The 27,123-nt window shown below is 37.3% G+C and overlaps 1 long non-coding RNA gene across 1 annotated transcript in view, besides 1 other annotated feature; it reads left to right on the forward strand.

Annotated features, from left to right (window-relative positions):
- Positions 1-27,123, forward strand: part of SNHG31 (small nucleolar RNA host gene 31) — a 153,377-nt gene that overhangs the window by 84,183 nt on the left and 42,071 nt on the right. The gene's annotated exons all lie outside the window — the stretch shown is intronic.
- Positions 10,059-10,560: an enhancer, noted in NCBI's record as "NANOG hESC enhancer chr2:215769194-215769695 (GRCh37/hg19 assembly coordinates)". NCBI's record gives its function as "activates a minimal SCP1, AML or CMV promoter by ChIP-STARR-seq in naive H9 embryonic stem cells {active_cell/tissue: H9 hESC(naive)}" and the evidence as "EXISTENCE:reporter gene assay evidence [ECO:0000049][PMID:30033119]".

Below are 27,123 nucleotides of genomic sequence, written 5' to 3' on the forward strand. Positions count from 1 at the left end.
CAGTCCTCTTCAATTAGGGAACAAATGATTAATTTTTCCTCATGAAATGATGTGATGGTCTGCTGCTGTGGGCTTCATCTTCAATGTCATCTCATTTTTTTTTTTTTTTTTTTTTTTTTGTGACAGACTGTCACTCTGACACCCAGGCTGGAGTACAGTGGTATGATCTTGGCTCACTGCATCCTCTGCCTGCTGGGTTCAAGCAATTCTCCTGCTTCAGCCTCCAGAGTAGCTGGGACTACAGGTGTGCACCACCATGCCCGGCTAATTTTTGTATTTATAGTAGAGATGGGATTTCCCCATGTTGGCCAGGCTGGTCTTGAACTCCTGACTTCAGGTGAGCTGCCCGCCTTAGCCTCCCAAAGTGCTGGGATTGCAAGCATGAGTTACCATGCCCAGCCAGAGTTTTTTTTATCATTTGCATTGTCCATGAATTTTTTGAAGACCCCCTTTCTATTTCTGGATTATGCCAGCAACAATTTTATGTATGGCTTAGCACATTTTGATGCTATGTAATTTTTGTATTACACAGCCTTTTAAAGTTTTTGATCAAGAATAATCAAAGTGGTATATATTAGATCCACATTTACAGCCCCAAACTGAAAACGAATTAACATTTTCCCCTGTAACACATCCGTAGAATTAACATGATAACTATCAATTCTATTTTTCTGAAAGTTTGGCCAGGTGATTAAAATAAACTTTGTTTTTCCATTATATTTTTCAAATAAAGGAATTTCAATTACCTCACAATTAAGGCACAGTTAGTTTGTCACAGGTCATGACTTAATTGCCTCAATCTGGAATTTCCAGCCAAATTATCTCATTAGCATTCAGAGCCTTTAGGCCACTGAAAGTCTAACTAAACAAAACATGGTGTCATAAATTTTTGTCTGAGAAAGGGCAGTTAGGGGTATTAAAAACACATACAAATAGAAAAGAAACCATCCAGGACATTTAACCATTTCTTCCTAAGAAATTCCCAAGATTGACGATGTTTGAAAAGTAAGCTAATGCATGGAAAGCATGTTTTTTTTCTGGCGTCACAGAAGAATTATAGTGAGACATTTTAACAAATATTTGGGCTCTACCCCAGCTGATTAAATCAGAAGCTCAGGGTGTAGGCCCTGGACATTGTATATTTAAAATTTCCCTAGTGAATTCTGATGTGCAAAAAGCTGGAAAACACCAATCTAAGCCAGGAGCCAGCAGACTATGGTTGATGACCTGGCCACTATGTAAATAAAGTTTTATTGAAACACAGCCACATCCATTCATATTGTGTTATCTATGGCTAATTTTGGGCTACAAGGGCAGAGTTGAGTAGTTGTGACAGAAACCATGTAGCCCTAGAAACCTATGATACTATCTGACCATTTAAGAAAAAGTTTGTCGGCCGGGCACAGTGGCTCACACCTGTAATCCCAACACTTTGGGAGGCCGAGGCTGGTGGATCACCTGAGGTTGGGAGTTTGAGACCAGCCTGATCAACATGGAGAAACCTCTGTCTCTACTAAACATACAAAATTAGCCAGGTGTAGTGGCGCATGCCTGTAATCCCAGCTACTCAGGAAACTGAGGCAGGAAAATTGCTTGAACCCGGGAGGTGGAGGTTGCGGTGAGTCAAGATCGCGCCATTGCACTCCAGCCTGGGCAACAAGAGTGAAACTCTGTCTCAAAAAAAAAAAAAGTAAGAAAAAAAAAGAAAAAGAGAAAGTTTGTCAACCTCTGCCATAGGCTAATGTATTGATAATATTGCATTTGGGTGGTAGTATTCAGATGTGTTAAATTTGCTCAGAAGAACTGAGGAAAGAATTATGTGAAGAATTGAAGAATTAGATGTTTTCCTTCCTTAATTATTCTTCCAGAAAGTTGAACACACTATCTCTGCTTATATCTCATTGGTTGAAACTGAGTCACACAGCCCTATCTAGCAGCAAGAGAGACTAGGAAATGTAGTCCTTATTCTAATGGCCATGTGCCCAGCTAAAATCCAAAGATCTATTATTATACTAAGGGAAAAGGAGAACACAAATATTGTGTGACTAAAAGAAGTCTCTTTCACATTGGTCTGCTTCCTATTTAAATACCACACCCAAAGTGCTGCAATAGGAACAGGAAAAAACACGCCCTGAATGGGAAAACAAGTAATGAACAGGTTAAGACTCCATTTGCTATTATCTCTTGTGTTAAAACATTTGATCCCTCAACTTTTTGGGATGATGTGCTCACTGATTAGCCTCTGATGCAGCACAGAAAACATTTTTCAGTCAGAAATCCCACTATATCGGGTGTATTTGATCCAGATATCCAGAACTAATTGAACAGAGTCACCGAACATTTGCTGCCATATTGCTGGGTGGGGTGAGCATGTAATTTATGTACAAGGTAGACAGGTGAGAGCAAAAGGGGTGCTGTTAATAGTTATACTTGGACAACAGTAAAATCTGGGAAGCTCAGACGATAGTCATTCTAATTTTGATCTACTATTTGAATGAGCATTTTAAAATATGAGATAAAAAGAGAGAAAAAACAAACCTCAATGTGGAAGGCTGACCTTTGTGCCAGACAGATGTTGTTACTTTAGTTGAAAAGTAGCAAATAACATCATTACTCACGATGATATAAATACACTTTAATTACTTTAAATTTTAAAAGAGTATATTTTATCATTGAAAAACTTATCTGTAAGTTTACCTAAAATTGGTGGTCTTTGTGAAGCCAAACATCATCAAGGTAGTTCATAGATACCAAAAACTTGAGAAACAGTGTCTAAAAGATAAAATTATTTTGAGAATTCAAGGATTTTTAATATCAATATAGGATAGATAACAAAAGGCATGTCAACAAGTCTTGGCAACTCTAACTCTTAATATTTCAAAATCTACATCCTTTTACCAAGCGACATCCCTGTTGTCATCATTATAATTGGATTCCTTTACTCCAATGTATTTGTCCCCCAAATCCAGGGACCACCTTATTCCCAGAGCAAGCTTTCTAAAGCACAAACTCAGTCATGTGATTTTCCTTTCTGATATCTTTCCATGATACCCCATGCCCCATTGTCCTTCAGGGTCAAGTCCAGACAGGGCTACATAATTTGTGGGGCCCATTACCAAACAAAAATATGGGGCTCCTTGTTCAAAAAGCAGGAAAAATTGTGCCATTTAAGGTAATCAAATATAAAAGATTTTTCCTTTCTTCTCTGGTGTGTCTTTCAACTTTTCATGGTATCTTTATTTGCTATTTAATGTTCTAAGTTTAAACATTAAATATTTAAATTTTTAGAATAAAATTTACCATTCTTCATATTATGGCACTGCCAACTTTAAATATAAATATAAAAGCATTTATCTTAAATGCAAAATCACCCAAATTACACAGGTTGTGTTTTATATATGCATATGTGAAAATGCTGCACAAAACCAACTCAGCTGTTTGTATTTCACTTCTCGGTATGTGCACATCCCACTAACACTCTCTAGTGGTTACCCCACTTTTCCTTTCTTTCTATGTCATCATTTTCTACATAATACAGGCAAGTAATGTAAGAAAGGATATGATTGGGCTCCTCAGTCGGTCCTGCTTTTATTGAAGCAGCTATAGTTTGAACAGAAAGCCTGGCTTCTCAGGGCAGTCAGTGTCCCATGTATTTAGCTGTACAGATTATGCACTTACCTTGTACATTCTTTCAGTCATGTCGTATTCCCATGCATTGTGGGTCTACCTGAATTCTGTGCTCATGGGGCATCATGTATGCTAAATGTGAATGGGACAGCAAGAAACAGCAGATACACACAGTCTGTAGTCTTTTATGACCATTTCCTTTTCCTTATCATAATGCTTTTGAGATTCGCACATAGTTTAATATCAGTAGTTCATTCCTTTTTATCGATGAGTGGAATTCCATTGTATGGATATGCCACAGTTCGTTTAATCCATTCAAGAGTTGAGCGCTTGCCTTGTTTCCAGTTGTTAGCTATTATAAATAGCTACTATGAACATTTGAATATGAGTATTTGCAGACATGTTTTCATTTTCTTGGGTAATTAACTAGCAGTGAAATAGTTGAGTCATTTGGTACGTGTATTTTTAACTTTTAAATAAACTTCCAAGTGGTTTTCCAAAGTGTTGTACTAGTTCACATTTCCACCTGAGGTGTGTGAGGGTTAATAATTACTCCATGTCCTCACCTACACGTGGTATTTTCAGATATTAATTTCTGGTGACTAGTGATGTTCATTGTAGTTTTAATTTGCAGTTCTCTGATATTGAATTGAATAGTTTCTTAATTCCTTTCAATACTTTCAGAATGTCTGTCTTCCCTCCCTGACAGACTGTCAATCCCATGACAGCAGAGACTGCGTATTTCTTTTATCTTTTTGTTATTTCTGGACCTCTGTGGTCTTTATTAATTTAAAATATTTTAATGGGATATTTTAAAGATAAATAAAACTAGTGAGTAACAAACCTTCATGTACTCACCACTCATGTGTAAGAATCATCAAAACAAGCCCCTCATATTTCATCCACTAACACCTTTCAAATTCACCCCTCCCCTACCCACCCACACACTGAATTATTTTAAAGAAAATCTGGGACGATATCTTTCTTGTGTATCTCTAGTGTTTAGAACAATACCCCAAAAGAGGGAGATACTCAATATTTATTGAATGACTAAATATTCTATGTATGTTTACCCTACTTTATCTTATGCTCTTACCTTAAAGACAGACCATTACTTTGAGGCAGTTAATTAATCACATTGAGCTTTTTCAGTAAATTTAAACAGTAATATCATAAGATTCCTTCCAAAACTACCAAATTGGCATCTGGTCTCTGACTGTTGTCAGAGGGATGCTAAAAGCTGAGAAATAATAAAGTTTTCTTTGAGCTGATCAACATCTTGATTACTTGCCAAGATTTTTTGGTTGTGAAGCAGTGTCTTTGGATAAATCAGCCATGAAAACAAGCTTCAGCTATGGCAGATTTCTAGCCCTTAGAAGCTGTTTATGAAACTCTGTATTAGGTTGAATACTGAATAGTCCATCACACCAATAATGGGGCTAGAACAAAATTGCTTGACTCTGGTTCGATGCTACTTTAGAACACTAAGTTGTAAAACTGGCTGTCAGAATGGAATAAACAATCAGAGTAGCCTGCAGCAGAAAACCATCAGAGTTTGATGATTGGGCTAAAGTAAAGCAGATATAAGTCACATTTCTGGAGGCATAATTCACAATGTAAAAATTCTCTAAGAAACCTGCTCTTGTGCTGGTTAAGAGCTAAATAAGACTGCCTGAGATGTCAGACAGGTAAATATATCTTTCATATTGCTGTGGTGTGCTCCTACAATTAACCCTGGAACAAAATACTTCTGAATCTTCTAGAAAATTTTGAAAAAAACAAAATGCCTAAAAGGAAGGATGTGCTTTCAAAAACATAAATTGTGTGTGAGAGCCACAGCTTTGTTTTCCCAGAGAATAGCAATTGGATCACTCCAAAAGCTTAATTAACAGGTTATATTGCTTCGTGACTTCCAGTTTGTTTCTGTTTGTTCGTCTCTAAGGTGAATCAGCCAAGGTAAGGTGTGCGCATCAGTTGAAACAATTCTTTCACGTAGTTGGCTTTTCTTGCCATGGGCTGTGAAATATGTGACAAAAAATATCACATTTTTAAAGTGGCAGTGTAACAATTTCTGTTGATCCTTATGTTGTGGTTAGATGCCAATAGCTCCACGAAGCCTACAGTTTAAAATAGCAATTATTTTAAAGTATGTCTCTTTTGTACACCACTAGGAAATTGGATTGTGTTTTCTGAGCCTCCCCGGAGCATTAGCCAAAGCATAGCTAAAGCTTTTCCAGTATTATAAATCATCTTTGTAGGCTCACAGATATTTTATAATAAAGGTTGGGATTTGCCTAATCTTTTTAATGTGAAATTCATGTTTCTTTTTCTCCATTAATCGCTATCCCATTTCTGTGACTCCACTCACACATTAAATTTATCTAGGCTATCAGCCAAAGTGAAGTGCTTGTTTACCTTCTTCCTAAAGCCAGTCTCTTCATCCAAATTACCCACGGTAGATTAGAACTCTATTTTGACCTTGCTACAAGAAAAGAAGTAACTCAGTTATTGTGGATCATGGGTAGGTGATAGGCTTATAAATTATCCACTTGTTTTGTTGGTATTAACTTTTAAAAGGAAGCTTTTCTTTTAAGAAACATATATTAAGAGTTGTGAGAAAAATAAGCGCACTGGCTCAGGCCTGTAATACCAGCACTTTGGGAGGCTGAGGCGGGCAGATCACCTGAGGTCAGGAGTTTAAGACCAGCCTGGCTAATATGGTGAAACCCCGTCTCTACTAAAAATACAAAGTTAGCCGGGCATAGTGGCACACACTTGTAATCCCAGCTACTCAGGAGGCTGAGGCAGGAGCATCACTTGAACCCGGGAGGCGGAGGTTGCAGTGTACCATTGTACTCCAGCCTGGGCAAAAAAAGCACAGCTCCTCCATCTCAAAAAAAAAAAAAAAAAAAAAGAAAGAAAGAAAGAAAGAAAAAAGAAAAAAAAAGAAAAGAAAAAGAAGAAAAGAGTTGCGAGGAAAATAAGGTAAGACTTCTTTATATACTCAAAATGAATCAGACTATTAGGACACATTTAAAAAACTGGTTATCATGGGGAATTTGTAGTTTTCATTGTTGGATGTATGCCTATACAATTATATAATATCTTAAAAAACAGATGTCAATATATTCAATTGAATTGAATTGAAATATATTCAATTCTGAGTTCTGTCTGACATTGTGGAAACTCTCCCTTAACCTCATCCCTAAGTAAAAACCAAAAATAAGCAAATAAATAAATAAACTAAAACCACTCTAAAAAGAGCCTCAGCTGAATTATCAATACCATGTTTGAGGGGGAGAATGTCATTAGGACTAGAATCCATTTAAAAGTGATTTTTAGTACAAAATTAGAAAAATAATTGTTATTCAAGAAGTTTGCTTTAATTTGGTAAGAGAATAGACACCATTTCAATAAATGTAATTTAGGTTTTTAGTTACATATTATTTGGTACAGATATAGTTCTGCATTGCATAAAAATAATCACATTTTCTATCAGTTAATGTGGTGATTTTCCATTGTATTCTTTTGGTTGTAAGTAATAGAATACCCAATTTAAAAAGTTTAACAAAAGTAAGTGTCAAAGTGCTTTCAGGATTGGTTTGACAGCTTAGTAATATTATAAAGGATTCATATCTTTCTATATTTCAGCTCTTCATCCTCAGAATATTGTCTTGGACCTTAGATTTATTTTAACCTCTTGAATGTAAGGGTGTAGCTGTAGTTTAGGTATCACATGTAGAGATAACATCATCTGTCATAAAAGATGGACAGTTTCTTCCCACGTATCTTTTTAATAGGAAGGAAAACTTTTCTCAGAAGCTCCCTGGCAGACTTTCCTTTTGGTCTCTTCTGCAGGATTGGATCACAACCCCATAACCTAGCTGCAAAGAAATTTAAAGAAAATGATGTATGACATTTTAAGACTCTGTCATTGAATGACATCTTGGCCAGGAAGGAAGAAGTGGGAAGGAGGAATGTGACAGTTGGAAAGACAACAGTTGTCTATCAATAGTTTATACCACATTTTGTTACTGTTTTGGTAAAATAAAGTTAATAATAATTAAGTGTAATTTATTTGAAGTAAACTTTTGTTTGCTTTTGCGAAGGAATTTGTATCAATACATTACAGATACTTTTTATGGGAGATTCATAGATTAATTCTAACTAAACCTCTTTACTTTCTGTCATAGAAATTTTAGAAGTCTTTTTAAAAACATTCTTAGACAAAGAAAAGAAATCTTACTGTGACATTACAGTTCCAAGTCACAAAAAACAATAAGATATGATGAATCGAGAAACCAAATCACACTCTTTCAATGGAATGTGGCAAAGACCAACTGGCTAGTGAAATGACTCGGAAACAAGGCCCTGAGCATAGACAAAGACACAATGGAAACCAATCAGATTAAACGGGCATCAATGCTATAATTAGATTCTGCAGCAGATGTAGAACTGAAAACACCAGGGCACCTGTTTTGTTCAAACCGAAGCTAGATTTTATAGACACTGAGAGGCAGAGGGCAACAGCAAATCATCACTCTTCATTTGTCTTGATTCACCTGGGAGGCAACCGGATTTTCCAAGAGTGGGGTTCCATTCAGAAAAAAAGTAGCAGTGATAAAGACACAACCAAAACAACAACAAAACAAAAATTTTACCTTATTTTGAATGTTCCTATTCTGAAATACTCTGAAAGCATATTTCTCTTTTCCCAGGTTTTTAGTTTTATCTAGAAAGGATACAGGCCCTCTCTTCAAAACAGACTTTGCAAAACATTACTCAAGCACACTGCATTAACAGGGATTTATTAATTCTCACGATGATTCATTTATTGTTTCCCTCTTTTGAGAGAAAAGAAAACAACTGAGAGCTGGGTTGTGTAGTAAGATGGCTTGTGTAGTAAGTCCCTAACTAAAGGAGCAGAATCTAAGGCCTCTTATACTTTTACCAAAGACAAAGGAGAGCTTCAAAGTTTATACTAAGTACCAAAATGAAAATAATTCTGGCTGCATTTAATTGGGGATTAACAGAGAATGCAGAAATTATAACACATTATTAAGGAGCTATTCCACCCTCTGAAAAATAACATGCTTTTCTTACAATAAGCACAGTACATTGAAATTTACTTAAAAAAATAAGACAACTCATCTTAATAAAAAGAGAAATGCTATTTTATTAATCTGTTAATTTTTCAGAATAAAGGCTTTTTATATTCTTCATTATTCTAAAAGTCAAAATCTCCATTTCAGTAGAGCATTTTTAAGAGGAGGTGGAGGGAGGTTCTAATGAATATTTATGCTCAAATCCACCCAGATTTGCTTGGTGATGGGACATAGAGCCTTTTAATGTGCTTTTAAAAATGTGGATGAGGCCAAGCACAGTGGCTCATGCTTGTAATCCCAGCACTTTGGGAGGCCGAGGTGGGTGGATCACGAGGTCAGGAGTTCGAGACCAGCAGCCTAGTTAACATAGTGAAACCTCGTCTCTACTAAAAATAGAAAAAATTAGCCAGGCGTGATGGCAGGTGCCTGTAGTCCCAGCTACTTGGGAGGCTGAGGCAGGAGAATTGCTTGAACCCAGAGGCGGAGGTTGCAGTGAGCCGAGATTGCGCCACTGCACTCCAGCCTGGGCGACAGGGTGAGACTCCACCTCAAAAAAGAAAAAAGTGTATGGAGCCCAGCGTGAAAAACAAGATTGGCATGACAATCAAATTGCTAGAGTTGAATGTACCCTAGCAAGACACTTCAAGGGTCTTAAAATCATTATTTTCCACAGGAACAAATGGCTTTCACTTAGGAAGAATAAATTTTTGAGGTCTATTGCATAGCATGGTGACTATGGCTAATGGTAATATATCATATTTCAAGATTGCTAAGAGTAAATTTCAAATGTTTTTGCCAGAGAAAAGCATGTGAGGTAATAAATATGTCAATTATATTGATTTAATCATTTCACATTGTATACATATATCAAAATATCCCACTGTATTCCACAAATACATACAATTAAGGCTTCTCAATGAAACAAATATAAATGAAAAAAATACATTTTCTTCCTTTTACTTAAACCAGAGGAAGGATCATGACTGGGAAATTAATAGTTTTAAATATGCTTCTAGTGGTCCATACTAAACTCTCTGAATGATCTTAAAAGTCATGTTAATTACCATCAGTTTAGATCCCATTGTTTTTATATTGCAGGCAGTGAAATGACCAGATACAAATAGACCAGAAGCTCTGTTGGATTTTTGTTTCTTTGAATGTAACTTCTTTCCTCAAGTCCTTTACATAAGGTCATGGGCATACAGAGAAATATTTCTCTGCCTTGTGAAAAACAATAATGCAGTCACGATGATAACAAGTAGTTATTGTCATCTAACAAATAGATATTGTTGTGCCAAGTGGTATTCTAGGCACTGAGAATACTGTAGTCAGTAAGACAGGGAAGCTCTCTGCTAGCTTGGAACTTCAATTCTAGAGTATAGTGGAATCAGAGAATAAACAAGTAAACAAGAGGACAAGTAAGATTCTTTTCGAGAATGATAAGTATCGTCAGGAAAAGAGAAAAGAGTAAAACTGCAACTGGCAAAAGGATCCAGCTGCCTGCAGCTTGTGGAAAGAAGTCAAAATAATAATGAATTATCATAATAAAGAGTGATATTTCTTTATTATTCATGCCAGCAATGGGAAGAGTAGAAAGGAATTCCACTCTTCAACTTGTGGAGGGAACGTGGGTTTTTAAAGAAAGGGTTTGGAATGCAGAAGAGGTAAGGAGGGAGCTAGGAGGTGCCAGGTGGCCTGACTTGCTCCCGTGGCTCACCTTGAATTATTGTCCCATTTGGTAAAGGAGCTGGCGCCATCGTGGGTCCTGCCAGGTCATAATAGGTCAATTCTGTAGTCACTCTTCAGTCGGGAGTGACTTCTGGACTTGAAGTAATCTTTTGTTGGAGAGAGAATTCTGGAGCTGTCTCGTCCCTATCAGGATCTGACCCCTGACACTTCTAAGGAAATATGTGACCAGATAAGAGAGCGTGGTGTGTGGTTAACAAGCATCGAGATAAATAAACGTGCACAAGGCATGGGAGTATAGTATGGAAAAGGAAAGGGAGTCGAGGTTCACAGCACATTCCAAGGCTGTATTTTGAGATGAAAGGTAGCACATATGCAGTTTGTCTTAAAGTTACATCTTTAGATTTGGAGGGGGAAGAGAAAAGGGAAAAGAAAAAAAAGTTTAAAATGTAGTCTGAGGCTAAGCTGCTATACTTTTCAGTTACAAAATGGGGTAGAGTCACCAGATTTAGAGATGGAGGAGTTTCAATGGTCAGAAAAGCCTCTTAATGGTATCAGACATTTAGCATCAGGGTTCGGAGAAACTCAGGGATGGAGGCAACCGTGACCAACTGGAGAGTCTGTGTTTCATTTGAAACAAGCAGTGCCATTGGATTCCTGCAGAATCCACTTGGCATTGGGGAGAGATAGGCAATGTTGCCAGATCTGGCCTTTCAAGAGAAACTCAAATTTAGATTTCAAAAAGAAATTGCCTTTTTATATGTTGGTACCTAAGATATAGGACATTTGCCAACCAACACTATATCACTGGTAACAGAATACAAGGGAGGTCTAGATCAGGTTGGAGGGACACCAGTGCCTTGAATCTCTGCTCTAGAACTTTCTTCTAGTCTAGAAGGCTAATCTAATAAAATAATGTGGCCTAAGATATTAATGCAGATGATAGCTTAATGTATATATCTTCCAGAGATGATAACTGACAAATTAACCAGGACTTTCCACCAGTTGTGAACAATCGGGCATGCTGGAAGGAGAGACTGCTAAGAGTGGTCTGGCTCACAGTCCCTTGGATCACAACTAGGGGCCTCGGCATATTTTTCACTTTGTAATGCTCCTCCTATGAGTAGACAAGTAAAAACAATGGGAACTAAACTGATGGCAATGAGCATGAGAATTTAAATTATTCAGATATGTTATTATGGGCCACTATAGGTATATTTCCAAATGTATTAATTTCCCAGTCATAGTCTTTCCTCTGGTTTAAATGAAAATAAGTGGAAAGAAAGAAAATGAAAATTGGATACATAGGTTCTTTGATCAAATAAGGGAATTATATGTAGATATTATCATTAATGCTTTATAAAATTAAAACATATCCTTTCTGGAAAGAAGCAAATGATATTTAGAACTAGCATTTTCAGTTATTCTCTTTTTTTAGGTTTGCTTGGAATCATTTCCCATTGCCTCTTTAACTCCTTCTTCTCATCTCAGCATAAATGTCAGAACTTGGCTATGATTCATGGAAAAATTATGCCACGTAGTGTTAATGCCACACCATTTCTAACTAGAGCCTTTATTTTACCAGCCATGAAGCATAAAGAATATTATAAGTAGTTCTCTATTTGTTTTTTAGTGAAAAAATTTAGCAGTCTCCCATGTATTCATATAATTAAGTTCAGATTTTTTTCCATTATGTCCTTTATGTAATCAGATGATGATTTCTTAGACATTTGACCAAGTTTTATCTTTCTTTTAATTCCGAAACATTTCAGATCCATAAAAACTGATGAAAATAAATTAGATTTTACAGTATACTAAATGATGGACTATTTAAGAATTACTTAAACTAATTTTTGGAAAACAAATTCTTTACATTAAAAATATATTTAAAAACTAAAATAGCTGAACTATTTAGATTTTATAACTTACCAAAAAAAACAAAGTAGAAGAGAAAAGAGTATTAAACCTTTTGGCCGGGCGCGGTGGCTCACGCCTGTAATCCCAGCACTTTGGGAGGCCGAGGCGGGCGGATCACGAGGTCAGGAGATCGAGACCATCCCGGCTAAAACGGTGAAACTCTGTCTCTACTAAAAATACAAAAAATTAGCCGGGCGTAGTGGCGGGCGCCTGTAGTCCCAGCTACTTGGGAGGCTGAGGCAGGAGAATGGCGTGAACCCGGGAGGCGGAGCTTGCAGTGAGCCGAGATCCCGCCACTGCACTCCAGCCTGGGCGACAGAGCGAGACTCCGTCTCAAAAAAAAAAAAAAAAAAAAAAAACCTTTTAAAGGAAATCTTTCTTTACTGGGAAACCTACTTAAGAAGGACAGATGACACTGGGAAAGGGTAATGGGATCTTCTGTAATGCTGATGACAGCAATGAGGTGGTGATGGGGATAGGGATGGAAATCCCCCATATGGTTAGGAAGCTAAGATGTGAACCAACTGATTTTGAATTAAAAATTAGAACCATCTTCTGTAAGACTTAAACACAGGAAAATCACACCAACTCAGCGTCCTTAATTGCTTTTAGTATCTCTGTTCTAGTTCATGGTCTTTCTTTCACTTTCCTGTATTTTCAATCTTATGGTCAGGACAGGTGCATGCTGTTTTAATTAGCATATTCACACCTGGAATGCAACAACTTAGAAATTACCTGCAGTCACAAAGAATGTCTCCATGGCAAAAAACAAACAAACAAAAAATAAATTACCTACAGTATGTTCCTTTTTTTCTTTTGAAAATCTTAGTGAATGTTATGTACTTTGAAGAGGTTAAAACCTAAAACTATTGATCCAGGGAGAAAAGTACTTTTTGCATAGACTTTCCTTTCCAAGAAACTGAAGGAAACTGTTTGTTCTTGAAGAATGCCATTTGGCCTTTCTCTTATATTGTCTATATAATAGACTACAAGCTGTTCTTTCTGCAAAATGAGCTTGTTTTGAAGTTAGATCATAGTTCAAAGAGAGATCTTGTACAGCTATTTCAAGAAGCGAGGACTCTGGAGGGCGAGCCATAGGTGTGGATTTCATTGCAGGATTGAGTTGCCAGGTGAGTTTAGATATTGGCTGTAGAAGCAGATATTTGAGTAACTGTACTCTTTCCAGTTTGGCTGCTGGAGAACATAGTTTGTTTTTCTCAAGTCACTTACAGAAAGTAAGCAAATAGCTCAGGTAACCTCTTTCTTAACTCCCAGACTTCCTGTGTACAGTCCTATAAGCTCTGTGAAAGCCACCCTCAAATCTCAATATTCAAACTACATTATATTAGTCCGTTCTCACATTGCAATAAGGAAATACTTGAGACTGGGTAATTTATAAAGAAAAGAGGTTGAATGGACTCACAGTTCCGCATGGCTTGGGAGGCCTCAGGAACTTACAATCATGACAGAAGACACTTTTTCACAGGGCAGAGGAGAGAGAATGAGTGACAGCAGGGGAAATGCCACATGCCTATAAAACCATCAAATCTCGTGAGAACTCACTGACTATCATGAGAACAGCATGGGGGAAACCACCCCCATGATTCAATTACCTTCCATGGTGGTATCAGTGGGATATCAGTGATATCAGATCTTGCCATTTTCAGAGTAAAATATTTGAATTTCAAGTCAGATATCTAGAATGCAACATATTGGCTTTCTATTCTTTTCCATGAAATGTATAAATTATGTAAAATATATCTTTGTGTAGAATCTGGGTTTTGGACTACACATTTGTGACTTCTGGACTCATTCTAATTTCATTACTTAAAAATTTAGTAGGGTAAATTAGTTCCTTTCAGATAAATAATGCTAGGAGTATTAACCTTCTCCTTCATTCTCAATTTAGAAATAATGGGTTTTACTGCAATAACTTTGCACCTATCAGCTTCACAAACTGGGAGGTTTGATGGTGGGATGAACAGGGACTCACTTAACATATCTGACTTTTTAAGAGTGGATCTTTTCCTTTTGTTTTTTAGAGATGGAATCTTGCTATGTTGCCCAGGCCAAAGTACAGTGGCTATTCACAAGCACAGTCATTGAGTACTACAGCCTCAGACTCCTAGGCTCAAGCAATCCTCTTTCCTCAGCCTCCCAAATACAAGCACGACAGGTGCATGCCACAGTGCATGGCCTGTATCTTTTTCTTTGACACCTCCCTCCTGTATATGACAAAATTATTTTTAATAATTATGAAATAAAACTAATCATAGTGGCTGTGAAAGTGATGAAAACAGTGAAGATTTATCTTTTATTGAATTTCATATATAGTCACGTCACTTAAAAATTTAAAAATTAATAAATTTAGAGACTAAAATAAATACCTTCAACAAAGGAAAACATAATGAATTGATATTTAACTAATGCATTTTTTAAAAAAGGAAAAATAATATCTACATAATGATCTGTCACTAAATGAATAATATAGTTTCTGTGTTCAAGCCCTCTGTCAACGGCTTCAGCAAAATAGATTTTTGCATGTTTAAGTTTATTAGCAAGTATAGACAGATTGCTTAATCTATCTTCACTCTTAGTTGATCAGAGGTTACTTTTTATTTTCAGTTTGATATATTTCTCTGACACAAAGCAACAGTTATACAAATAGTTAGAAAAGTCTTTAAGGATAGTTTGGCAGAGATTTTTATAAAAATCTTATTTCACAATAAATTTCATTGCTCTCCATGTCTTTCTTTGGGATTGATTCTAGCAGCTTTCAAATGTCCCTACAGTCAAAATATTTTAAACATAAAAATTCCAAGTGGCTACATAGAATGACAGAATTGAAGTAACAAGTTCTGTTTCTTCATCTTTGCAATCACAATGCTATCATTGCTTGTTTAAAACCTACTAGTTAGCTGGCATGGTGGCTCACACCTGTAATCTGAGCACTTTGGAAGGCTGAGGCAGGAGGATCGCTTGAGGCCAGGTATTTGAGACCTGCCTGGACAACAAAGTGAGGGCCCATCTTTATAAAAACATAAAAATAAAAATAGCCTGGTGCAGTGGCTCGAGCTTATGATCCCAGCTACTCTGGAGGCTAAGGCAGGAGGATCACTTTGAGTCCAGGAGGTTGAGGCTACAGTGAACTATGATTGTGCCACTGCATTCCAGCCTGGGAGACAGAGCAAGACTAAGACCCTATCTCTACAAAACAAAACAAACAAAACCAAATAAAAAAAACAAATCTACCAGTTAAATGCAGAAATATATAGCTTCAGAGGTGATGGAGGTAGAAATTGCCCCCCAAGCTAGCTAGAAAGAGATTCCTAACTGTCTTCAACTTGGAATTCTGTGATGAGTTAGTTCCCCAGTTTCCAGGTAAAGTGTATACACTTTACCTGGAAGTTCTCCTAGTTTTACCTGGGAGTTCTCCTAGTTTTCCTTCATGAAGAATACAGTGTTTATCAAAGAATAAATAATTTTTTAAAAGCTCAAATTTGCAATTTACCAATATGTTATTAAAATTTAGTAGCAACCACATCACTTCTTTAGAATTTACCCTGATGAAAGATTTTTTTTTTGATAGGAGTATTTGATCACTGTATTAGTCCATTTTCACACTGCTGATAAAGACATACTTGAGACTGGGCAATTTACAAATGGAAGAGTTTTATTGGACTTACAGTTCCACGTGGCTGGGGAGGCTTCACAATCAGGGCTGAAGGTGAAAGGCATGTCTCAAATGGTGGCAGACAAGAAGAACTTGTGCAGGGAAACTCCACTTTTTAAAACTATCAGATCTCGTGAGACTTATTCACTATTACGAGAACAGCACAGGAAAGACCTGCCCCCATGATTCAATTACCTCCCACCAGGTCCTTCCCACAACACGTGAGAATTCAAGATGAGATTTGGGTGGGGACACAGGCAAACCATATCAATCACTGACTTTGTTTAGAAGTGCCTTTGCTGGAGCTTGGTGAAAATAAGTTGATCCTGTTATTATTTTTAAATTCTCTACGGACATTGTACACCAATTTTGTCTGCACTGGGTCTGACAGATCCCTTTACCCACCCCCCTTGAGATACCACAGGAAAGGAGTTGCAAACAGAGGGAAAAACACAGATTGAGGAAGACTGTGTTTTGTACCATGCAGTCACATAACCCATCCCATAAACCTCCCTGCCCCAATTGCATGAGAGATATTAGCAAATTGTCTTGTTTGCCCTCTGAATCAGATTTCCTACATGTGCTTAAGTAAATCATTGTTTTTATTTGAGGAAGAGAAGATTCACTGAGGATGCTTGAGTAAATGAACTCTGGCACCCTGTACCTCATTTGGGTGAGGTTTTAGTCCCCTCATCCCTTTAGTGGCTGAATTCCAACCACTGCCTGCTGTTGGACCCAGAGTTTTGGCAACCTGTGGCTCTTATTTCAGCTCTGTCTCTGGTCCATGGGCCGGTTTATCTCTTTTTAAAGTCCAGTTATGGTTTTGTTTTTACTTCTACATTTTATCTGCCATTGTTCAATTTTTACAGTAAAGATAGGGCCAGCAGAGCTTAGATTTAGAGCCAGTTTCTCTGTTTTCTATTGGTGTGTACCTGTGAATGTATATTAATGAAACAAAACATAATGAAAATGAGGGGAGCATTTTATAAATACCCACTGGTTTATTCTTTTTAGCTTTTTACTTAGAAGCATGATTTTTATGTCTGTTAAATCTTAATCCATCTATTTATGTGATATTTCTTTAATGGAGTTTTAATATAAAAATATATATTGTTGCCCTTCTTGCTTTGTTTAAAAGATGTTTACATTTTAAAAGTTGGGAAAGCATTCAAAGTATAATTTGCTGAAATATTGTAAGGAGACATATACTTTTCCATTGCTAAAATCTACAGAAATAGAAGTCTACTTCTGTGTTGCCATTTTTCTTAAGTAATCAATTTACTAAGAAAACTCATTTCTCTGTGGTAGTTTTTTACTCACTGATACATAACATAATGCCTTCACGCCTTAATTGGGTTGTTAGGTGGGATTTAAATGATTCACATATGATGCTGAACATGATTCATATTCTGTGCTATATTTTCAGAGAACAGAAAGAATAGAGCAACAACTACAAAAGCAGATGGGACAAATATGTTAGAAGCTGTTTCAGTACCTATAAGTATTGTAGAACCACCTGGCTAAAAAGCAAAAGGATGTTCATCATAATAGTTTTATATAGCATAGTTGTTGAGAACTTCTTTCTGAAAATAATGACCCCAAACAGGCTCAGCTGTTTCTTCCTCTTGTATATGGCAGTTGGGCACATATCTTATTTTTTTGTAGCTGCATTAGTTTTTAAATATAAGTTTAAAAGAAAAAAGGCTAGAGCATAACTTGATTTTCACATCATTTAAAAGCATTATTAGATCTCTCAAAAGACTCTTCTTTCCAATTCTAATTATACTGGCATGATTATAATACAAGTTTTCAAGGGGCATTAGTACCTGGGATCTATATTGAAGCAATACAATTTATAATTCTATCTATGGAGCCGAAGTATAATTCAAATTCAGTAAGACGTTCAAGAGTTATATATTGTTTTTGAATTTACTTCTTCAGTGAGATATCAATTATCCATAGTAGATAGAACTGTGGATCCCAACCTTGGCTGCACGTTAAAAACACCAGGGGAACTTCTAAGACTCCCAGTGGCCACACCACACCCTAAACCAATCATTTTAGATTTTCCAGGGAAGGGTAAAACCCTGGAAGCAGTATAATTTCCCCAGGTAATTTCAATATGCAGCCCAAATTGAGAATCACTGAATTAGAAAGTACCATAATGGAGAAGTATGTCTAAAATCATTTTCTTCTTCTGATAAAATGCTGTATTGTAAAGCTCAGACTTAGATTTTGTTGACAGAGGAAAGTTGAAAAAGGATTTTTAGGAATATTACATTTATTTCTTCATTTATCCATCCATCTATTTATACATTCAGTAGCACTTATTAATTTCCAATATGTGCCAAATTGGGCCGAGTTTATAATCTTAAGTTATGGAAAATATATTTTTGAAGACAGGTTGATCATTTCTTGTGATAATCTAACCTTAAGAGATAAAGCAAAGGAACAGTTTTCTAACAATTGGGGTTCAGGCTACAGTGAAAATAATTTTGTCAATTGGAGAGCTTGTTAACACAAGATTCTTTTCTGTTTGAGTAGATACATTAAGGGGAATGTGCTTAATGAAACCCAGTTAAGGTGATTCCTGGAATCAACAAAATGCAGAAACTTAATCTTCCCACTGTTAGGTGAAAATAGTCATCTTATTATTTATAACAATTTTTGCTTTGAGAATTTTTGTTTTAGAAGATATACCTATGAGCAACAAAGTCTTTAAATCTGCACTCATTACTGGTTTTGAGAGCTGAAACCAAGCCGTGGCACCAAAATGTTAATGAGAACTGTCATTTATGCAGAATTTACCATGGGTACTCTGCTAAGTACTTTTAACATCCATAAAATCTTCATAACAATCCTTTGAGGAAGATATTAGCATTATCCCCATTTTAAAAACAAGGAAACTGAGTTTATAGAGAGGTTAAGTAAAACATACAAGGTCACTGTATTAGTCCATTTTCCCACTGCTGATAAAGACATACCCGAGACTGGGTAATTTATAAAGAAAAAGAGGTTTAATGGACTCACATTTCCAGTTGGCTGGGGATGCCTCACAAACATGGCGGATGGCGAAAGGCACATCTTACATGGCAGCAGACAAGAGAAATAAGAATCAAGTGAAAGCAGTTTCCCCGTATATAGAACCATCAGATCTCGTGAGACTTATTCACTACCACGAGAACAGAATGGGGGAAACAGCCCCCATGATTCAATAATCCCCTGCCAGGTCCCTCCCATAACATGTGGGAATTGTGGGAGCTACAATTCAAGAGGAGATTTGGGTGGGGACACAGCCAAACTGCATCAGTTACTTCCTGAGGGCAACTGGGTGTGAACCTCAAAACTAGGGGGTGACTTCAAAAGCGGTGCTTAAGTTTAAGAAGCAATCATTTAAATCCCTGTGTTATGCTCCCTCTCAGACCTGATGTGATTGATTTTATTATTATTGTTGTTGTTTTTTATTGAGACGGAGTCTCACTCTGTCACCCAGGCTGGAGTGCAGTGGTGCAATTTCAGCTCACTGCAACCTTCGTCTCCTGGGTTTAAGCCATTCTCCTGCCTCAGCCTCCCAAGTAGCTGGGAGTACAGAGGCCCACCACCACACCCAGCTAATTTTTTGTATTTTTAGTAGAGATGGGGTTTTACAATGTTGGCCAGGCTGATCTCAAACTCCTGACCTCAAGCGATCCACCCGCCTCTGCCACCCACAGTGCTGGGATTACAGGCGTGAGCCACCGCGCCCAGCCTGATTTTATGAGGGTTTATATAAGTATACACATAATTAGTGTAAATGTTGTGAGTATATATTGTCCATAGTGGAACCTTAGTGAAGAGCATAGAAATAAGGTGTATTAGATTGTTCTCCAAATTTCTCTGAATATGAAAATCCCCTGGGTACCTGTTAACACTGTCACTTTTTCCCTAGTCACTGACTCCCTGAATTAGAATCTCCAAGGGAAGAGCCTGGAAAGCTGAATTTTTTCCAACAACGAGCCCTAAGTCATTCCTATTGTAAGGGAAGTTTGGAAACATTGCTCTGAGTTAAGCATTATAATCGACAAATAATGAAGGCACAAAATCTTTATACCTGAAAAAATATCTTGATATTTCTTTCAGGTGTAAAGTGCTAGATTATCATGTCTAAAGAAATAAAGATCCATTAAAAGGGAGTTGCTTGGCCAAAGAAGCATTGAAAAAGAGTTTCTGAAGGACAGAGGATGGTAGACCTCAAGGCCCACTCAGCTCTGATGAGGGAAGAAGGTTTCCAGAGTCAAGGATATATCTTTTGAAGGTGTATCTTACTGTGGAGATGGATGCTTCAGGCTCAAGAAGCCTGATGACATTAAACATTGAAATCACATAATTATCTCAACTTGGCCTGAGTCTCTCCGCTCAGCAAGTAACCCTCTGATTAAAGCATGACTTCCTATATAGTGTGCATGAGGGGAGATAAAATTTGTTGGCTGGGGGATAGGAGTGTTCCGTTAAAGTTCTCATTGTAAATCAATAATCTGACACTCAGATTTTAGCCATCAGTGTTTTGAACTTTAATGCAAGTCCACCCATAAGAGCTGTATGCCCTTTGTGTTATTAAGTTATGATTCTGAGGCTGCAGAGATGAGGTCTGGTGAAAGTCTTGCTATTCTGTGTGAGAAAGACCTGCCTGGATAGACCTGCCATTATAACCTCTCTCCTTTGAAGCTTGTTCTCATTTGCCTCTCTGATTTCTATGCCTGTGCCCTGTAGTTCAAGGTGTTTATCTGCTGGAGGGTAGGAGTGGGGGCACGTTGGTGGAGAGGGAGGCAGGAGGAGTTAGGGAATTGGAAAAGTTCCAGAAAGTGGAGGAAAGGCCAAGGTAACATTCAGTTTATGACAAACAAAATAGGAATACAGAGCAGGATAGTAACTCTGAAAGCCATGGTATTGTTTTAAGAATGGATTTGCTGAATTTCTTTGACTTTCCTCCCTCCACCCCTTGTAGTAGATGAACAAGTCTAGCCTGGAAAACTAGAGAACGAGTTTAAGATCACAGAGTTCTCTTATAAAGAAAAGACACTATTTGTCTTAAGATTTGTTGTTCATTTGTAGAAGGAAGATCAGATGTAAAGAAAGCATACCTGCTTTCTATCCTTAGGATTTAAGGGAAAAAGAAAGGAAAGAAAGTAAGAGGAGAGAGGGGTGAACACAGTGCTAATTTTCTACCTCAGGGCTTTGACCCGGAAGCATGTGTATCCATTAAATGAGCTTAATGTGGAAGGCAAGGTATTTTAAATATTCATTAAATGAGTTTAACATGGAAGGCAAGCTGCTGTAGATCTCTCTTGTACATGCCACATCAAAGTAAACGATCCTGCACAAGATGGTACAGTAAAGGAGACATTGGGTTCCGGATTGGTCACCTTCAGTTGAGTGTGGCATGGTCACTGACTTGTGAACAGTGTTCTGTCATGGATCCCACTCTGGTGAACTGGGTGACCTCTGAGCTAAGTGTGAGCTTATGTGCCTATGGGAAAAATGGAAGATGTAACAGACACTCGAGGGTGAAAATGAGTTAGCCCAGAAGCACTACCATATTGTAACTAAGTCAAGAAAGAGACCAGATCACAAGTTATGTCGGCCCCTAATCCTGACATAGAAAATATTACCCAGGGAAAAGGGGACATTGTCCACCCCAGAGACTATCAAAGGTACAGGACGCTACCCTTGGCAAACTTGACCTTTTTCTGCCCCCACTAGAATATGTGAGATCCCTCTTGTAATATAACTAGGAATTCTCCTCCAGCTACCACCTATTTCTCTGCTCCCCTTTCCCATCCTCCCTACTTTCTCTCTTATTTTTTATTCAACTCATTCATGAGGTTTTCTTTCTGTCATTCCCCAGAAACTTTTTTTGTCAAGGTCATCCCTGAATATGTTAGATCCAACTGTCAATTTTCAGTCTTTATTTTAATCTAACTAGCAGCTGCCTGGGCAAGGTCGGCCACTCTCTCCTTTTTAGAAACAATTTCTTTTCTTGGCTTGCATGTTACACATTATTTCTGGATGCTCCTTCTCTACCTCAAAAATACTGTGCTGCCTTGGGATGCTCTGTTTAGATTGCTTCACTGATCTAGCCAAACTCATCTCCCTGCATAATCTCATTCAGGCTTGTGGCTTGAATTTTCATCTGTATGCCAGTGCCTTCCACATTATTTTTTTCTCCAGCAGAGATCTTTTCCCAAACTCCAGACACAGAGATCTATAGTTTAGTCAAAATTTCCTCTAGAATGTCTGACATCTCAAACATAATGCATCTTAAACCCAGCTCTTGATTTTATCGCCTTAAACTGTCTTTGTGTCTCCAATTTTCTCATTCTCCAATAAATAACAATTCAATTTATCCAGTTGCTCAAGCTAAAACCCTTGGATTCATTCTTGACTCTCTTTATCTTATGTATTCTTCATTAATCTGGCAGCAGTTTCTATCAGCTTTTCCTCAAAAACGTACCCAGAATTTAACCTTTTTTTTTTTTTTTTTGCTATCTCCATAGCTACCAAGTTATTCTGCTGCACTAGTTTTCTAGATTGCCCTGACTTCTGCTTTAGATCCCTACTGCCTGTCCTCCATAGCTGCCAGAGTGGTCCTTTGGGTTTCGCTGGATTCTATGGTAAACAAACAAACAAAAAAGGCAGCAGGACTTTCTTAGGTAATTGTATTTTATTTGTTGGTTCTGCTTGTCTCTGCTAGACTTTATTAAATACACAAGCTCTTTCCATGTTATGAACAAGACAGCAACTGGGAGCCCTACACTTGTCCTAGACTTGTCTTCTCTCAGTTCAGCAATCCCATGAGAAGGAAATGTCTCTTCCAAAATTTAAATATTAATTCAGGAATGATTGACTAACTTTGCTAGAGTCTTGTGTCAATCTCTAAACTAATCAAAGTGGTTAAGAGAATTAAGATGCTCTGGCCATCTAGGGTCATATGCACACCTAATTGCTGGGATGAAGAGGGGCCACCATAGTCACCAGCTTCATTGAGACAACCTGGAATGGGAACAAGGGAACCACAGAAATAAGAAAAGAGACTAGGGGCCAGGCATGGTGGCTCACACCTGTAATCCCAGCACTTTGGGAGGCCAAGGCAGATAGATCATTTGAGGTCAGGAGCTGGATTTGAGGTCAGGAGTTGGAGACCAGCCTGGCTAACATGGTAAAACCCCATCTCTCCTAAAAATACAAAAATTAGATGGGCATGGTGGTCCGTGTTTGTAATCCCAGCTACTTGGGAGGCTGAAGCTTGAGAATCACTTGAGCCTGGGAGGCGGAGATTGCAGTGAGCTGAGATTACGCCATTGCACTCCAGCCTGGGCAACAGAGTGAGACCCTGTCTCAAAAAAAAAAAAAGGAAAGAAAAGAAAAAGGTTGGGATAGAATTTAGGGCAGATAAAAAATATAGCTTAATACCATAATTTAATATATCATCTTTTTTGCTATAAATCAATTATTTAACCCCTTTGATACTTGTTCCCATCTAGGGGCAGTAATACTGCACAGGGTTGCTATGAGGTTCAAATGATTTTAAACATGTAAAGTTTTTTCATAAAAAGTGAAATTTTATACTTATGTAATTGTTAACTATTATTAAATCTAGATTAGTTCATCAGTGGCTGGCAAAATGTGAACAGATACAGAAGCTGACCTTCTGTGATTTGTAACAATAGCATAGATGTCGACAAGAGTCAATCACACAGGCTTTTACCACTTCTACTCAATGTAGTACTGGAAATTCTAGCTGGAACAATTAAGCAAGGGGAAGAAAAGGCATGCAAATTAGAAAAGAAGAAGTAAAATTATCTCTGCTTGCGGATGATATTATACGTAGAAAACCTAAAATTTTCACATAAAAAAAATCCTGTTAGAACTAATAAGTGAGTTCAGCAAAGTAGCAGGATGGAAAGTAAACACAAAACTAAGTTAGATTTCAATATATTAGTAATGAACAATTTGGAAAAGAAATTAAGACAACAATTTTAGGCCTGGCACATTGGTTCATGTCTATAATCCCAGCACTTTGGGTGGCCGAGGCGGGAGGAACACTTGAGATCAGGAGTTCGAGACCAGCCTGGCCAACATGGTGAAATCCTGTCTCTATTAAAAATACAAAAATTAGCTGGGCATGGTAGCAGGCACCTATAATCCCAATTACAGGAGAATTGCTTGAACCCGGGAGGTGGAGGTTGCACTGAGCTGAGACTGTGTCACTGCACTCCAGCCTGGATGACAACAGCAAAACTCCATCTCAAAAAAAAAAAAAAAAAGAAAGAAAGAAAAAGAAAGGAAAGAAAACAATTCTGTTTACAGTAACACCTACTATGATCTGAATGTTCGTGTCCCTCCAAAATTCATGTGTTGAAATTTAACAATCAGCGCAGTGGAGCTGAGAGGTGGGACATCTGGAAGGTGATTAAGTCATAAGGGCAAAGCCCTCATAAATGGGATTAATGTCTTTGTAAAAGAGGCCTAGGGGAGCTTATTTGTCTTCTGTGTCATATGAGGACTAGCAAGAAAGTGTCATCTATGAAGTGTAGGCTGCCAACAGATACCTATGAATCTGCTGGCACCTTGATCTTTGACTTCTCAGCTTCTAGAACTGTGAGCAATACATTTCTATTGTTTATAAATTATTTAGTCTAAAATATTTTGTTCGGGAAGCCAAAATGGACTTAGATAGCATCAAAAAGAATAAAATACTTAGAAACCAACTTAACCAAGAAGGAGAAAGACTTGTGCAATGAAAACTATAAAACAGTGCTGAAAAAGTAAAGATACAGGTAATTGGAAGCACATCTCATGTTCATAGACTGGAAAACTTACTATTGTTAAGATGTCAACACTACCCAAATCTATCTATAGATTCAACGCAATTCCTATCAAAATCCCAATGACATTTTTTTGCAGAAATAAAAAACGCCAACCTAAAATTCATACAGACTCTCAAGGGGTCCCAAATAGCCAAAACAGCCTTGAAAAAGACAAACCAAACTGGAGGATTCACACTTCCTGGTTTCAAAACTTACTACAAAGCGACAGTAATCAAACAATGTGGAACTGGCATAAAGACAGGTATACAGACCCATGGAACAGAATAGGGAACCTAGAAGTAAACCCTCACATATATGATCAAATGATTTTTGACTAGGGTGCCAAGTCCATTCAGTGGGGAAAGAATAGTCTTTTCAACAAATGGTGTTGGAAAAACTAGATATCCATATGCAAATGAAAGAAGTTGGAATACAAAATTAGTTCAAAATGAATCAGGAACCTAAATGTCAGTCCTAAAACTATAAAGTCCTTAGGAAAAAAAACATTGAGTAAAAGCTTCATAGCATTGAATTTGGCAATGACATTAAAGGCATAGAAAACAAAAGGAAAAACAGACAAATTTGAACTTCATGGACATTTTTAAAAATCATGCATCAAAAGGCACTATCAACAGAGTAAAAAGGCAACTGACACAATAGTGAAAATATTTGTAAATAATATATTTTATAAGGGATTAGTATCCAGACTGTATAGAGATCTTCTACAGCTCAATGACAAACAACCCAATTCAAAAATGAGCAAAAGACTTGAATAAACATTTCTCCAAAGAAGATATAAAAATAGCTAATAAAAACATGAACAGGGCTGGGCGCGGTGGCTCATGCCTGTAACCCTAGCACTTTGGGAGGCCGAGGCAGGCAGATCACGAGGTCAGGAGATCGAGACCATCCAGACTAACACGATGAAACCCTGTCTCTACTAAAAATACAAAAAGTTAGCCTGGCGTGGTGGTGGGCACCTGTAGTCCCAGCTACTCAGGAGGCTGAGGCAGGAGAATGGCGTGAACCTGGGAGGCGGAGCTTGAGATAAGCAAAGATCGTGCCACTGCACTCCAGCTTGGGCGACAAAGTGAGACTCCATCTCAAAAACCAAAACCAAAACCAAAAACAAACAAACAAAAATCATGAAAAGATGCTCAACATCACTAATCATTAAGGAAATGCAAATCAAAGTTGCAATGAGATACCACCTTACACCCATTAGGATGGCTACTACCAAAAAAACCAGAATATAATAATTGTAATAATTGTTGGTAAAGATGTGGAGTAAATAGAACCCTAGTGCAGGGTTGATGGGAATGAAAAATGCTATTGTTGTGTGTGGAAACAGTATTATAAATTAAAAATATAATTATGTGATAATTCATATGATTCAGCAATTCCGTTTCTGGGTATATACTACAAAGAATTGAAAGAAGGGTCTTGAAGAAATATTTGTACATCCATGTTCATTATTAACAACAGCCAAGAGGTAGAAGCAACTCGGGTATTCGTTGACCAATGAACAGATAAGCAAAATGTAGTATATACATACAATGGAATACTATTTAGCCTTAAAGAGGAAGGAAATTCTGACATATACCACAACGTGGATTAACTTTGAGGATATTATGCTTAGTGAAATAAGCCAGCCACAGAAAGACAAATACTATATGATTCCACTTATATTAAGTAGCTGGAGTAGTCAAAATCATAAAGAAAGAAAGTATAATGGTGATTGTTGAGTTGGAGAGGGGAGAAAGGAGATTATTGTTGAATGAGTATAGTTTCAGTTTTACAGGATGAAAATAGTTGTAGAGACAGATGGTGATGGTTGTACAGCATTATAAATGTATTTAATACCAGTTAATTGTACACTTAAAAATGATTAAGATCATAAATCTTAGGTGTATTTTACCACAGTGAAATAATTAGCAGAAAGTCAACCAAAGAGTTAGTGCCTTAAACAGAGAGGAATAAAAATTATCTCGAAGATTGGGGTGGACAGGATTATTAATTACACACTTAAGCAAATACTGACTAGAATCTTTTGGAAAGGGTACTTTGAGGGAAAAATATTATCAAAGAAAAAAATGGAAGTTAAGGCTGCATAGGCAGTTAGATTTGAATCTACCTATGAGTTTTAGCTATCTATTGCTGCGTAATACTATTGCCACAGATTTGGTGGCTTCATACAACACATGTTTATTATCTACCATTTCTATGGGTCAGGAGTCTGGGTGCATCTTAGCAGAGTTCTCTGTAAGGC

Source organism: Homo sapiens, chromosome 2, assembly GCF_000001405.40.
Source record: "Homo sapiens chromosome 2, GRCh38.p14 Primary Assembly".
Classification (NCBI taxonomy): domain Eukaryota; kingdom Metazoa; phylum Chordata; class Mammalia; order Primates; family Hominidae; genus Homo; species Homo sapiens.